The sequence below is a fragment of the Homo sapiens genome, chromosome 2 (genome assembly GCF_000001405.40).
Source record: "Homo sapiens chromosome 2, GRCh38.p14 Primary Assembly".
NCBI lineage: Eukaryota > Metazoa > Chordata > Mammalia > Primates > Hominidae > Homo > Homo sapiens.
This window is the reverse complement of record NC_000002.12, coordinates 37,598,529-37,613,799: the sequence shown is the minus strand read 5'-3', so window position 1 is coordinate 37,613,799 and position 15,271 is coordinate 37,598,529. Positions and strand designations below refer to the sequence as shown.

The window sequence follows — 15,271 nt, the reverse complement described above, 5'->3', positions numbered from 1 at the left end:
CTATTCTTGGATATTTACTTCCAGGTCCCTTTAAACCAGTAATTTTTAACTTTGGGTCTGGGGGTGGGGCAAGAGAAGGGTCATAAATTCTTTGCATAAACTAATGAAAGTTAGAGATGCTCTCTCTCCAAAAGTGCACACACACACACACACACAAACACTATGTGTATATATATGTGTAGTATGTATACACATATATAATATTTAATATATATGTTACATATAAAGTATATATATGTGTGTGTGTGTGTGTGCATATATGTGTGTATATATACATATAAATTATATATATAAATTAGAGACTCCCTTGAGGTATGTACATACAGACACACACACACACACACACACACACACACACACACGCCAGAATAAGAACCCCTGCTTTGAATCATGCAGAGTTTTAGAACTATATGGGGCATTAAATATAGTGTGGTACAAAACAGGGATTTCAATTGAACTAAAAAAAATATTTTTCTTTTCATAAATTGATATCCTATACTCTTTTAAAGGTTTAAATAAAGATAATAAATAAAGACAACGGAAACCACATACAAGATAGGGAGAATTAATTGTATCCGCAACAAGGTTGTTACTGTAAGTAGACTCTTACATTTAAGTCTGAGCTTCTGGGCAGCCAAGATAAACAGAGAAACATCAAGTAAAGCAACCAATTATTAAGAACTATGTGTTAAGCTTTTAAAGAACATGGTCCTTAAGGAGGAAAGAGTGATTTTTATTAAAATATTCAGAGGCTGAAGGCCAGGGCAAGGATACGTGATGGGCTGTGTGTTCCATGCTATAAATGGAGGTTAGGTTCTACAGGCGGCACTTAGGATTTGCGATATAGAAATACATAACATTGCTAATAGGGAAACACAAATAAGATTCAGGAAAAACATTACAAATGATCTCTGGGGAAAATCCAGTTTGTCAGGTGAGGGGCTGCCATCACGAGTCCTTGTTTCAATAGATTAATTGGGTGCATCCAGGAAGAGTCCCAGTCCTCAAGGGAGCCTTCTGGAAGACAACTGAATGCTCTTGGTCAAGTTTTGTCTTGTTGAGGAGGATTTCTTAAGAGTACAAAGATATCACAGCTAAAATGCACTCTCAACTCTTTAGAAGAATCAGTGCTGCTGGTTCTGGAGCCACATCTTGAGAATAAGCTGCTGGATTTACATTTCCCTCAGGACCCTAAAACATCCAGTTTCATTCCAGCTGATCTCTCACATTCTTCAAGGGAATCCCTGGGAATGTACTTTCAAGAAACAAGGCTCCGTCTGCTAACACTGGGATTCAGCTGCTGCTGAGAAGAGACTATTTCCCGCCACCTTCTCTGAAAGCCACTGAAACACAGCGGGCCTGCTTGTTCCTTAGCCACCTCCACATTTCCACCACGAGTAAACATGTAAGAAATTACAAATAGGAGACAAGCCCTACAGACTGTGAAATTACCTACAGTTGTTCACATTTTTCCCCATAAAATAGTATCCTTCCAGAAATTTGCCTGCAGAGAGGATAGTCTTTCTAGCAGTAATTCCTACCTGCGAGGGTTGCTGGTCCATTGGCATAACAGGACTTCAGGGTACCAGCCAGGAGATCACAAGAAAGATGCTTCTTCAAGTGTCTGCTGCAGTACAAAATAACACCTACTGAATATCATCCAAGACGCACATCTCTTTAGAACGAGAGCACATCAACATGTTTATTTAACAAGCACTATGTAGTGTTTCCCATATACCAGGCCCTGTTCACATGTCACTCTTTTGCCCCTTTTAACAACCTTCTGTGGAGACAACCATTATTATCCCCATTTGACAGAAGGAGACATTGAGGCCCAGAAAAGGTTAGTAGCCCATGTTACTCTGCAAGTAACAGAGGCAAGATTTGAACCCAGGCAGTCTAGTTCCAGGGACATGTTCTTATTCACTATCCTAGTGGTTATGTAACTTCAGCCTGTATCAGAATCCCCTGAAAGGCTTGTTAAAATGCAGAAACTGGGGCCCCATCCCTGGAGATTCTGGTTCAGTAGGTGTAGGGTCGGGGTCTGAGAATTTGCATTGCCAACAAGGTCCCAGCTGATGCTGATGCTGCTGGTTCTGGAACCACATTTTGAGAACTACTGCCTATGCTCACTAAGCCATCAGTTGAACACCTCCTGAGCCTTTGCACACTCTACCTGCATTGTTCTCAGTGAATCCTGATCATCAGTAGTTCTTTGAATTTTCTCCAGGTGATGCTAACATGTAGCTAGGATGAGAATCCCTGCTCTGCTTAAAGCCAGTGGTTCTCAATCTTGGCTGCACACTGGAATCACATGGGGGATTTTCAGATCTGCTGCCTGGGGTCCTAGCCTCAGTTATTGTTTTAATTGGTATGACCCTTAAAAGTCCCTGTACATCATGTTTTAAAAGATTTTACAAGTGATTGTAATGTACAGCAACCATTTGAAGATCACTGCTCTCAACTCTTTTCACTTTTAGAAGCCACCAGTTTGCTGATGATCAATTTCCAGGATCCTCAGGGATCTTCAGTTATCCTCCCTAAAGCGTGATGACAAAGTTAGCCCAGGCCAGAAATTAGCTGCTGCTATGAGACCAGCTGACTTCTAGTAAATGTTTCTAATTAGGGCTACAGATTTTTTTAAAAACAAGTTAGTCTTCTCACTAAAGGGCCAAGTTATTCAGATAATAACTTGATTTTGGCAGACTGTTGAAATTCTCTGGCATTGCCTTCTCCCAAATTTGGAGTGGTTTGCTTTACAAGAGGATTCTCTATTTTATGAAGGAATTCCTGGCAAGTTTTCTTGACAGGACACTTAAAAATAATATCTGATTTGCACTCACTCATAAATTAAGGCTGGAGCCTTTAAAAGATTCTACAGCCCTTGACAGTGGCAGAAGCATCTTTCAAGACATTGCTTTGCTCTCACTGTAAGGTCTAATCACTTCCCCTCTGAGTTCCTGTATTAATTCTGCTGTCCATAAAGCTGAGGTGAGAGATAACACTTTCAGACATCACTCAGCTGTTTGACCAGCTCTCTGTTACAAAAACAGACATGGACAACACTAAGAGAACAATTCAGGTGATCGTTTCTTTTGCTAGGGAAAACCTACTCCAAGTCATTCATTCATTCGCCTTCGCAAATGTTTCTTAATACGATAAAATGGATTTTACTCATCAGATTATGCTAGCAGAGTTCAATTCACTTGCATGATTTTTGAACTCACAGTGACGTATTTTCCTAGCACAAACCTGCAACCGATTGCTTGGGAGAAAATTTAATAGATGGCAGCTTATCCTTTTTTCCCCTCAGCTTTATTGAGGTATAATTGGCAAAAAAAAATTATATATAGTTAATGTGTTCATCATGATGTTTTGATATATGTATATATTGTGAAATAATTACCACAATCAAACTAATTTGTCTATCACCTCATGTAGTTACCTTTTCATTTTTTTAGTGAGAACACTTAAGATCTATTCTCTTAGAAAATTTCAAGTATACAATGCACCATTAACTATAGTCACCATGCTGCACATCGCATCTCCAGAACTTATTCATCCTGCAAAACTGAAACTCTGTACCCTTTGACTAGCATCTCCCTACCACCACCCCCAAAGCCCCTGTATTAGGTTCCAGTCCAAGATGAGGTCTGAGGGGATTCGCTGGGGTGGCAGGTAGCTGAAAGAACACTCGAGAGGCCACAGGTAGGTGAGACATGGCTTTATTCAGCAGCTCGCTGACACTGTTGGTGCTGCATTTATGCACCTCGCAGACAACAGTGGCTCAGAGCCAGGTGATGAAACTTCCCATGTTATGGCTACATAGCTATGATTATATAACGCATGGGGTTGCATGTCTGCACTCCAATCCCACTGTGTCATGCTGTGCCAGATGTGTACCTCGGCCTATACTTGACTGCAATGCAGCCATTGTCCTTACACCCTGGGAATCACCATTCTACTCTCTGCTTTTCTTAGTTCAACTTTTAAAAATTCCACATATAAGTGAGATCATACAGCATTTGTCCTTCTGTGTCTGGCTTATTTCACTTAGCATAATATCCTACAGATTCATCCATGTTTTAGTAAATGGCAGGATTTCCTTCTTTTTAAAGGTTGAATAATATTCCATTTTATATATGTGTGTATATATATGTATATATATATGTATGTGTGTATATGTACACACACACACCATATAAAGTATGGGATATATATTTATATACACACAGCATACTTTATCAATTTATCCACTGACATACACATAGGTTGTTTCCATCTCTTGGCTTGTCTTTGAATGAGAAATGTCTATAAAGGTCTTTTGCCCATTTTTAAAACCAAGTTATCTAGGTTTTTTTTTTTTTTACTATTGTTTGTGTTTCTTATATATTTTGAATATTAAGGCTTTACCAGATATGTGGTTTGCAAATGTTTTCTACCATTGCATAGATTGATTGTCTCTTCACTCTGTTGATTGTTTCCTTTGCTGCGCAGAAGCTTTTTAGTTTGATGCAATCCCACTTGTCTATTTTTGCTTTTGTTGCCTGTGCATTTGGGGTCATATAAAAAAAATTATTGCCCAGACCAATGTCAAGAAGCTTTGGTCCTATATTTTCTTCTAATAGTTTCATGGTTTCAGGTCTTATATTTAAGTCTTTAATCCGTATTGATTTTAATCCATATTATTTTAGCTGTGGGCTTGTCATATGTGGCCTTTATTATGCTGAAGTACATTACTTCTATACCTAATTTGTTGGGTTTTTATCATGAAAGGATGTTGAATTTTGTCAAATGCTTTTTCTGCATTTATTGAGATGATCATATGATTTTTATTCTTCATTCTGTTAATGTGTTATATTACATTGATTGATTTTTGTATGTTGGACCAACCTTGCATTCCAGGAATAAATCTCACTTGATCATGGTATGTATGCTTTTTTAATATGCTGCTGAATTGGTTTGCTCATATTTTGTTGAGACTTTTTGAATCTATGTTTGTCAGGGATATTGGCCTGTAATTTTCTTCTCTTGTAGCATCCTTTTCTGGCTTTGGAATCAGAGTAATGCTGGCCTTATAAAATGAGTTTGGAAGTGTTTCCTCCTCTTCAATTTTGTGAAGAGTTTGAGAAGGCTTAGTTTTAATTCTTCTTTAAATGTTTGGTAGAATTCATCTGTGAAACCATCTGGTCCTGTGCTTTCCTTTGTTGGGAGACTTTTTTTAAATTACTGATTCAATATCCTTGCTCATTATTGGCCTGTTCAGATTTTCTATTTCTATTTCTATTTCTTAATGATTCAGTCTTGATAAGTGTTGGAAGTTGTTGAAAACGGAGTATTGAAATCGCTGTTATTACATTGCTGTCTACCTCACCTTTCAGTTCTGTTAATGTTGCTTTATATACTTAGAACATGCTCTGATGTTGGGTGCATATATATTTACAATTGTTATAGTCTCTTTATAACTTGACCTTTTGATCACTATATATTAAATAATAACCTTTGTCTCTTGCGACAGTTATGATTTAAGTCTACTTTGACTAATATAAGTACAGTCATCCCTGCTGTCTTTTGCATGAAATACCTTTTTCATTCCTTCATTTTCAGCCTATATGTGTTCTTAAGGCTAAAGTGAGTTGCTTGTAGGTAGCATATTCTTGGATTTTAAAAAAAAAAAAATCTATGTAGCCACTCTATGTCTTTTGACTGGAGAATTTAATTTGTTTACACTTAAAATAATTATTGATAGACAAGACTTACTAATGCCATTTAGTTAATTATTTCTTTGTTTTCCTTCAATTATTTCTTCTCTTGCTTTCTTTTTGTTTTGATTATATTTTGTAGAGGTATGCTTTAATTCCTTTTTCTCTGTCTTTTGTGTATATATTAGAGCCTGTGTGTGTGTGGGGAGGCGGGGCGGTCACCATGAAACTTACATAGAACATCTTATAGTTTTAAGTCTATTTTAAGCTGATAATTTAAACTCCAAATGCATTCAAAAGCTCTACACTTTTACTTCTCCACCCCACCTATTTTATGTTAGTGATGTCAAAATTTCCATCTTTTTATATTGTGTATCTGTTAACCTATTATAGCTATATAGTTAAAATTGCCCCTTGAACAACACAAATTTGGACTGCATAGGTCTACTTAAATGAGGATTTTTTTTCAATAAAAGTAACACCAAGTGTGCCTGCCTCTTCCACCTCTTTCTCCTCTCCCACCTCTAAGACACCAAGACCAACCTCTCTTCTTCCTCCTCCTCCTTAGGCTACTCAACATGAAGACAACAAGGATGAAAAGACATTTATGCTGACACACTTTTACTTAATGAATAGTAAATATAGTTTCTCTTTCTTATGATTTTTTTATTAACATTTTCTTTTTTCTAGCTTACTTTATTGTAAGAATGCAGTATATAATACACATAAAATATAAAATATGTGTTAATCAATTGTTTATCAGTAAAGCTTTCAGTCAACAGTAGGCTATTAGTAGTTAAGTTTTGGGGGAGTCAAAAATTATATGCAAATTTTTGACAACATGGGGGAAGAGTTAGTGCCCTTAACCTCTGCATTCTCCAAAGGTCAACTGCATTTTGTAATATTGCCTTTATTGAATGAATACAACTTTTCTTTGTCCCGAATTTTTTATCAGCCAGGATTATTGATGCCATGATTTGTGTATGATCAATCTCCTTTAGGAATGGGATGAATATGTAGTAGTATTAACCTAAGTATGGACCAGCATCACCTGGGAGTTTATTGGCAATGTAGAATCTGGGACCCACCCTAGACCTTCTGAGTCAGAGCCTGCATTTTAACAAGACCCCAGAATGCACCCATCTTCTGAATCTTTTCCTTTCTTTTATGCATGGGAAAACAGACAAGGAAAGTTAAAGAACTCATCCAATATAGGAAAACAGTATCTAGCAGGGGAAAAAGACAGAACCAGGCCTCCCTGTCTAAGACTTTCTGTTCTATCAGACTATATTTCTGAATGGTTGTCTAAGCTTTTGTTTTATTTTGTTTGAATATAAGGAGGCACTTCCTCTTTATAGAGCAATTTCTTCGGACAATAGGTCAACTGAATTTTTAATACTTTGTCTTCTTTTGTACTAGAAAAGTGATTTATATACCACCATTGCAATCTTACAGCATTCTAAATTTGACTATCAACTTACTTTAACCAGTGAGTAAACATATGAACACTTTTATGTTTTTGTGTTACTAATTAGCATCCTTTTCTTTAAACTTAACTCCTTTTCGCATTTCTTGTAAGGCGAGTGTAGTAGCAAAGCTGAGGAAGCCCAGCTTTTGTTTGCCTGGGAAAGTCTATCTCTCCTTCAGTTCTGAAGGACAGGTTTGCCAGGTATAGTATTCTTGATTGGCAGGGGTTTTTTTTTTTTCCACCTTTAGCATTTTGAATATTTCATCCTACTCTCTCCTGCCCTGCAGGGTTTCTGCTGAGATATCTACTCATAGCCTTGTGGAGGTTCCCTTGAATGTTGCAATCTGCTTCTCTCTTGCTGCTTTCAAAATTCTGGCTTTGACTTTTGATAATTTTGTTATAATGTGATGTGTCTCATTATAATCTTCTTTGGGTTTTCCTGTCTGTGGATTTTTGAGCTTCATGAACCAAGATGTTCATATCCCTCTCAAGATTTGGGAAGTTTTCAGCCATTTTTTCTTTAAGTAAGCTTTTGTCCCCTTTTTCTATCTCTCTTTCATAATGTATATATTAATTCATTTATTTGATGAAGTCCGATAAATCTAATCGGCTTCACTCTTTATTGTTATTTTTTCTCCTTTAACTGGATAATTTTATCTAATCTGTCTGTGCTCAGAGATTTTTTCTTCTGCTTAAGTCTGCGTCTGAAGCTCTCTATTGAATTTTTCATTTAATTATATTATTCAGTTCCAGAATTTCTGCTTGTATCTTTTTTATAATTTCTATCACTTTATTGAACTTCTAATTTTGTTCATGTATTTTTTCTGAGTTCACTGAGTTGTCTGTTTTCTCTTGTAGTTTGCTGGGGTTCCTTAGAACAATTATTTTGAATCCTTCATCAGGCAATTTATAGATCTCCATTTCTTTGGGATGGTTACTGATATATTATCGTGTTCCTTTAGTGAAGTCATGTGTCCTTGATTTTTTGCATTCTTTGAAGTCTTTCACTACTATCTTCGCATTTGAAAAAGGAGTTACCTCTTCCAATCTTTACTGACTATTTTCAAAAGAGAAAGACTTTCATTAGTCAGCTTAAATAGGGATTCTGGTGGTCTCTCAGAACTTTTCTACAGATGCATATGCTCCACTTCCCTTGTTCCCTCTTGAGTGGGGTAGACAAGTGTCAAGATTATATTAATATGTTGTCTTATTCTGTGGTGCTGTAACAAAATACCTGAGACTGTGTAATTTATAAGCAATAACAATTTATTACTTATTATTTTGGAGCTGGGAGGTCCAAGATCAAGGCTCCAGAAGGACTGATGCCTGATGAGCGCTGCTCTCTGCTTCAAGATGGTATTTTCTTGCTGCATTCTCCATAGGAGAAGTCTAACCTGGCAGAAGGGATGGAAGGGCAAAAGAGAACTCCCATAAACCTTGACATCTTTTATGAGTGCTCATCCCATTCAAGTGAGAAGAGTCATCATGACTTAATCACCTCCCAAAGGTTAGACTTCTTAGTACTATTGCATTGAGTATTCAGCTTCAACATAAATTTTAAATGTTAAATTTTCATTCAAATTACAGCATATTCCTTCTCTTGATCTTGCAAAAGTCAGGCCAGGTGCAATGTAAGCCTCCTGTTTATCTTCCCTAGGAAGTGCCTTGAAAAATTCAAGATTAGTCACTTCCTTCCAATCCTGAATCAAGTTAGTTATCTTCATGTTCTCATGCACAATCTGCAGAAGCTTGTACATGCTATCCATGGGGGTGCATTCAGGGTGCCAGCTACATGGGGGAAGGGCATGCAGAAGGTTGGAAGCACACATGGGCTAGTCAGGGGATCTGCAGATTATGCATCCTATGTAGTTTGTGGCTGGCCCTCTTGATGGAATTTGGGAGGTAGTTAATAGAAACTGTGGCTCTTTGCTGAATTCCATACTCAGGTTGCTGTGAGTGCTGCCCCTTTTCCCTGCTCCTAGCTACCCCCAGATTATTCAGCCATACTGATTCCCTCAGGGTTCTCAAATGGGTGAGGCAGAAGTGGGTCTCTTCTACAGCATCCTACAGCTGAGGAAATTAGGCACTCACTGTTCTCATTTTCCCCTGTGGAAGAAACTGGGCTGAAGCGGTCTCTCTTGGCACTGATCTGTGCCACACTGGGGGAGGGGTGACACAGGTAAAGTAAAACTGTTCTTACCTTCTTTAATGCATCTAGTTTTGGATTTATTTATTTATTTATTTATTATTTATTTTTTGGTCCAAATAAAGTGCTAGGGTCTCTCTGCTGGACTTCTGCGCTCCCACAAAGGTTCTCTCACCTGTGGGTGATTGGCAAAATTAGTGTTTCTGTGGGAGGGATGAAGGTTGACTACTCATCCATTGACTATGCCCATTCTACCATCTTGCTGATGTCACCTGCAGCATTATTTCTTAGAAATGCCAAGATGCCCCCATACATTCAAAATTACAATGTGGCAACTGAAGACTCAGTTTTGGTCATATCTGTGCACCATGTTAGTCTATAAAGCTCCTGCATTAAAAAAATTTTTCACTTGCCAACTATCTATCTATATCTATGTTCTTATCTATATACTCTCTACACACTTTAGGGTCTTAATCCTGCTTTTTCAGCTTAGTATAGGATTGACAGATCTAGCAAACAGAATTAAGAATGCCCAGTTAAATTTGCATTTTATATAAATAATGAATAATTTTTATTATAAGTATGTCCCAAATGTTACATGTATTTTATCTGACAACCCTAGCCAAGAACCCTTTCTGAAAGCTAGAGTACTCATGCTTTATTTTGCGCTTCCTCAGCCAGATTTTCCTTCATATTACCGGTGTTTACATTAAGTTCTTATCCCTTTCTTTCCCTTTATTCATTCATCCAACTGGCTCATGGTATTTACATTTGGGCTGGATCTTAGAATTCTAGACTTAGAAAAGATATGAGACTCAGAGATCAAGAGCCCTCAGAACTTGGAGTTGGGAGAGTTTATGGCTCATGCGGTGACAGCATTTCAAATAGGTAATGACTTTTGTAGACTTGCCTGAGAATTTACCAATTGTTTAGAACATTGTTTCTCAAAGAAAGTAAATTTTGAGTTCCAAATTGAAATAGTAACCTAGTAGTAGAGATATAGGGGAGGGGAGAGATTAGAGAAATATTTAGATGGTAAAATAGAATTTGGTGATTACTTGTATACAGACAATGAAGGAGGAATGAAAGATGATACCCAGATTCCTAGTTTGGATAACTGGATTGATAATGAAATAATGAAGCACATATTAAGAAAATACAAAAAGAGAAAACAGTTCAAGTGTGTGTGTGTGTGTGTGTGTGTGTGTGTGTGTGTGTGTGTGTATTTGAAGTAATCAGAGAGCTACCAAGGCAGCCAGGACTTGAAGGGCCAAGATTTTAAAAAGAAGAGAAGAATATTGAGGTGAATCAGACAATCAGTGATACTTTTCACCCAAGGCATTTGTCATTTCATAAGCATTGGTAGAGACATTGAGAAGATAAATAGCACTTTCAGAACTTCAAAAGAATGGGAGACAAATAATAGAACTTCAGAGCTCACCAGGATGGAAGATCCTGGATAAATCAATAAACCCAGCTTTCAGAAAAGACCTCTGAAGGGCTTCACCTTAGGAATAAAGGTGAAACTAGAAATAGACTGGCCCTTAGTAATACCAAAACCTTGCTTCAAATCAGAATGGTGCCAAACTGGATTAAGCTGATCACTTTCTGTTCTAAACCCTCACTGGAGGAAGGAAACCTTATTGTGAGCCTCCACTTTCAACTTGTCACTTTAATTTTCTCACATATAATGTCTGGACTCAATCAAAATTTACAAAACAAACCATAATATCAGACTACTGTCTGAAAAACCAGAGGGAAAAAGACAAAACTAATTCAGATATTAAAATTATCAGGCACAAACGTGAAAACAACTGTGATTAATATGTTTAAATTGCCAAACATGTTTTTCCATTTTTTTCAAATCCCAGGCATATCTTGTTACCACAATATTAGGAGTAGTTAAAAAATACATTGAGAAGGATGTAGAAAAAGAAATAAGTTACAAAGCAGGTAGAAATGTTCCATGTCTTGATGGCAACATATGGTATCTTGATTGTGTTGGTTTCACAGGAATACACATTTGCCAAAACTCATCAAATTGCATTTTTTAAATGAGTAAAGTTTATTGGTTGTTTGGAAGTTTTACCTCAATATAGCTTTAAATTCAATCTCAAACACTAAATTCAAAAAGAAAATTTTAAAAATCAAATATTCATAAATGCTGATTCAAAATGAATGTAATCTTGAGACACACCTACCATGTCAGAGAAGGGAAATATGTCAGACAGTTTGGTGACATCAAAGGAATAAGATGTGCATTCTCCTTCTCTCTCTTTCCCTCTCTGTTTCTCTGTCTCTATCCACACAGCCAGAAGTATCATATCTTATTATTGCAAGTTTTCTATCTCACAGCTGATACTTCCCATAGTTAAGATAGAATAAAGTTGACAGAAAACAAGCCATCTCAGGTTTCACTCCTTCTTAATACGCACGGATTTTCAGTCCACATTTTTCTTGTTCTCTGTGGCTCTACTGGCTGCTGACTTTTACCTAGACACTTGACTTTCTTCTTTGTGCAGTTTCCATAAAATCCCTTAGTAGATGTTTTCAAGCCATTTGGGTCCCCAACCCCACCTTTTCCCTGCACCCAGTATCTGATCCCACTTCTCTCCCTGATTCTGATTCCATTACCACCCTAACCATTTCCTCCCTCCCAATGTTTAGCTGTTCACTGCTTTCTTAGTACTCTCTAATGCTACAGTCTGTGATACAGGAGAGCAGGAACTTTCAGAATAGTTGGCACATCGGTCAATGAATCTCAGATTACAAAATAAATTTTAAAATCCAAGTCACTGCTTCAAACATCTGTAAAGATTTCAAGGTTACATAGAAAAATAAGACTTTATTTCAAACATAAACTTTAAAGTTTTAGAATAAAAACAACCAAATTATTTCCCAGAACAGGAAGGATCGTTTTTCAAAAGTTGAAAAGCCTACCAGATTTTCAAAGCACAGTGATAATGCATTACCAACACCAATGCCCTCAGTCTAAAAAGATGATACTACCAACCAAAGCATCATCAGAACCAACTGAATTTTCCTCTTTTTAAATTATTTCACTCTCTTCTCTGTTATTCTTTTATTCTCTTGATTTTTTTATTATAGTCTCTCAAATTCTCATCATATTTCTCGTTCCAACTCCCTCCCTTTTAACTGGTTATGATATGGAATTTACAACTAAATTATCTGTTGTATTTCTTGAATATAATTTTTGGCATATCCTGCCTTCACTTTAAGATTGCAGATTAAAACCGAGTCACAGTATTTCCCTTTCCAGTATCTAACAACATGGAAGAGAGGGGAATTTTTAAAAATTATAAAACCTAAAAGCTAGAGGAGAAGTCACTAGCAGCCACAAAACAGGAAAAGGGGGGATGCTTAATGCATAAACTCCAAAAACTGGAAAATAAGGAAAGATACTGAAGACTGTGAAATGAAACAGAGAGGGTGCACAGCCTTGCTTTTACTTGTGCCCAAACCCCCGGAAGTTGTACTTCTGAATTGATGAACTGAAACCTCAAAAGAAATTAACTGAGTCATTATCTTTTTCCTTCCAAATGAGGAACTGGGGGAGAAGATACTGGTGGGGAAAAGAGAATGAAATAGGGACTGACCCTACAGAAAAGAAAGCTCCACAGCTCTATGGTCTAAGGAGCCAAGGCTACATTTCCACAAGAAAGGAAAATATCCCTCAAGTAGGTCTTGACACAGGACCATCAACAAAGTTCCAGAAAATGAGCAGGGCTCAATTCTTTAACAAAGAGTGGAAATAACCTAACACAGCTGAGCTTTCTCCTTCTGTTACTATTCTCTTGGTGTGTAAAAGAATGAGTAGAACACAAGGATACTCAGGCACCAACCTATAGCTCTGAGGAGCAAACAAAATTGTCATATATAATGTTTTAAAAAATCAAGAAATAACCCTCTGTACATCAGAGCAAATAGAATGCCTAGACAGAACCACCCAAACTTTAAAAAAAGAAGTATTGATATGGCAGGCAATTATATACATTTTATGTGATAAGGAAGAAAGAGAGAAAAGGAAGGACAAAGAACTAAATAATAATGAAACACCAAGTACCCAAAGGAAAACTGCTTCACACTGTAGAATAACTTACCAAGTACTTGATCTGGCTAAAACAGACTCAGACCGGTTCCAAGATGGCCAAATAGGAACAGCTCTGGTCTGCAGTTCTCAGCGTGATTGACGCAGAAGACGGGTGATTTCTGCATTTCCAACTGAGGTACCTGGTTCATCTCATTGAGACTGGTTGGAAGGTGAGTGCAGCCCATGGAGGGTGAGCTGAAGCAGAGTGGGGCGTTGCCTCACCCGGAAAGTGTAAGGGGTCGGGGGATTTCCCTTTCCTAGCCAAGGGAAGACGTGACAGACTGTACCTGGAAAAATAGGACACTCTCACCCAAATACTGCACTTTTCCAAAGGTCTTAGCAACCGGCAGACAAGGTGATTCTCTACTGTGCCTGGCTCGGCAGTTTCCATGCCCACGGAGCCTTCCCCACTGCTAGCACAGCAGTCTGAGATTGAACTGCGAGGTGGCAGCCTGGCTGGGGAAGGGACGTCTGCGATTGCTGAGGCTTGAGTAGGTAAACAAAGCAGCCAGGAAGCTCAAACTGGGTGGAGCCCACCGCATCTCAGCAAGGCCTAACACCTCTATAGACTCCACCTCTGTGGTCAGGGCATAGCTGAACAAAAGGCAGCAGACAACTTCTACAGACTTAAATGCCCGAGTCTGACAGCTCTGAAGACTGCGATGGTTCTCCCAGGATGGTGTTTGAGCTCTGAGAATGGACAAACTGCCTCCTCAAGTGGGTCCCTGACTCCCGTGTAGCCTAACTGGGAGACACTTCCCAGTAGGGGCCAAGAGATACCTCATATAGGCGGGTGCCCCTCTGGGATGAAGCTTCCAGAGGAAGGATCAGGCCAGCAATATTTTCTGTTCTGCAATATTTGCTGTTCTGCAGCCTCCACTGGTGATACCCAGGCAAACAGGGTCTGGAGTGGACCTCTAGCAAATTCCAACAGACCTGCAGCTGAGGGACCTGACTGTTAGAAGGAAAACTAACAAACAGAAAGGTATAGCATCAACATCAACAAAAAGGACATCCACACCAAAACCTGATCTGTAGGTCCCCAACATCAAAGACCAAAGGTAGATAAAACCACAAAGATGGAGAGAAACCAGAGCAGAAAAGCTGAAAATTCTAAAACCTAGAGTGCCTCTTCTCCTGCAAAGGATCGCAGCTCCTTTCCAGCAATGGAACAAAGCTGGATGGAGAATGACTTTGACGAGTTCACCTAAGTAGGCCTCAGAAGGTCGGTAATAACAAACTTCTCTGAGCTAAAGGAGCAGGTTCGAATCCATCGCAAGGAAGCTAAAAACCTGAAAAAAGGTTAACGAATTGCTAACTAAAATAAACAGTGTAGAGAAGACCTTAAATGACCTGATGGAGCTGAAAACCATGGCACGAGAACTTTGTGATGCATGCACAAGCTTCAAAAGCCGATTCGATCAAGTGGAAGAAAGGGTATCTGTGACTGAAGATCAAATTAATGAAATGAAGTGAGAAGACAAGGTTAGAGAAAAAAGAGTAAAAAGAAATGAACAAAGCCTCCAAGAAATATGGGACTATGTGAAAAGACCAAATCTACGTTTGATTGGTGTACCTGAAAGTGATGGGGAGAATGGAACCAAGTTGGAAAACTCTCTGCGGGATATTAAACAGGAGAACTTCCCCAACCTAGAAAGGCAGGCCAACATTCAAATTCAGGAAATACAGAGAACGCCACAAAGATACTCCTCGAGAAGAGCAACCCCAAGACACATAATTGTCAGATTCACCAAAGTTGAAATGAAGGAAAAAATGTTAAGGGCAGACAGAGAGAAAGGTCGGGTTACCTACAAAGGGAGCCCATCAGACTAACAGCAGACCTC

At 38.2% G+C, this 15,271-nt stretch overlaps 1 long non-coding RNA gene across 5 annotated transcripts in view, besides 2 other annotated features; it reads right to left on the bottom strand.

The window, feature by feature from the left end:
• Nucleotides 1-712: 712 nt before the first annotated feature.
• The window catches only part of LINC03063 (long intergenic non-protein coding RNA 3063), a 50,602-nt gene continuing 36,043 nt past the window's right edge, over nt 713-15,271 (bottom strand). For 2 of the 5 annotated variants that reach the window (NR_187224.1, NR_187221.1), the window contains 2 exons: nt 9,371-9,491; nt 8,414-8,564 (listed from right to left, as the gene is read on the bottom strand). This is a non-coding gene — a long non-coding RNA (long intergenic non-protein coding RNA 3063). Of the gene's footprint in view, nt 1,628-8,413; nt 8,565-9,370; nt 9,492-15,271 lie in introns of those variants that run through there. The other 3 variants (NR_187222.1, NR_187223.1, NR_187220.1) reach the window with 2 other exon arrangements.
• Nucleotides 10,941-10,990: a silencer, noted in NCBI's record as "silent region_11360". NCBI's record gives its function as "represses an Ori minimal core promoter by ATAC-STARR-seq in GM12878 lymphoblastoid cells {active_cell/tissue: GM12878}" and the evidence as "EXISTENCE:reporter gene assay evidence [ECO:0000049][PMID:35858748]".
• Nucleotides 12,975-13,064: an enhancer, noted in NCBI's record as "active region_15589". NCBI's record gives its function as "activates an Ori minimal core promoter by ATAC-STARR-seq in GM12878 lymphoblastoid cells {active_cell/tissue: GM12878}" and the evidence as "EXISTENCE:reporter gene assay evidence [ECO:0000049][PMID:35858748]".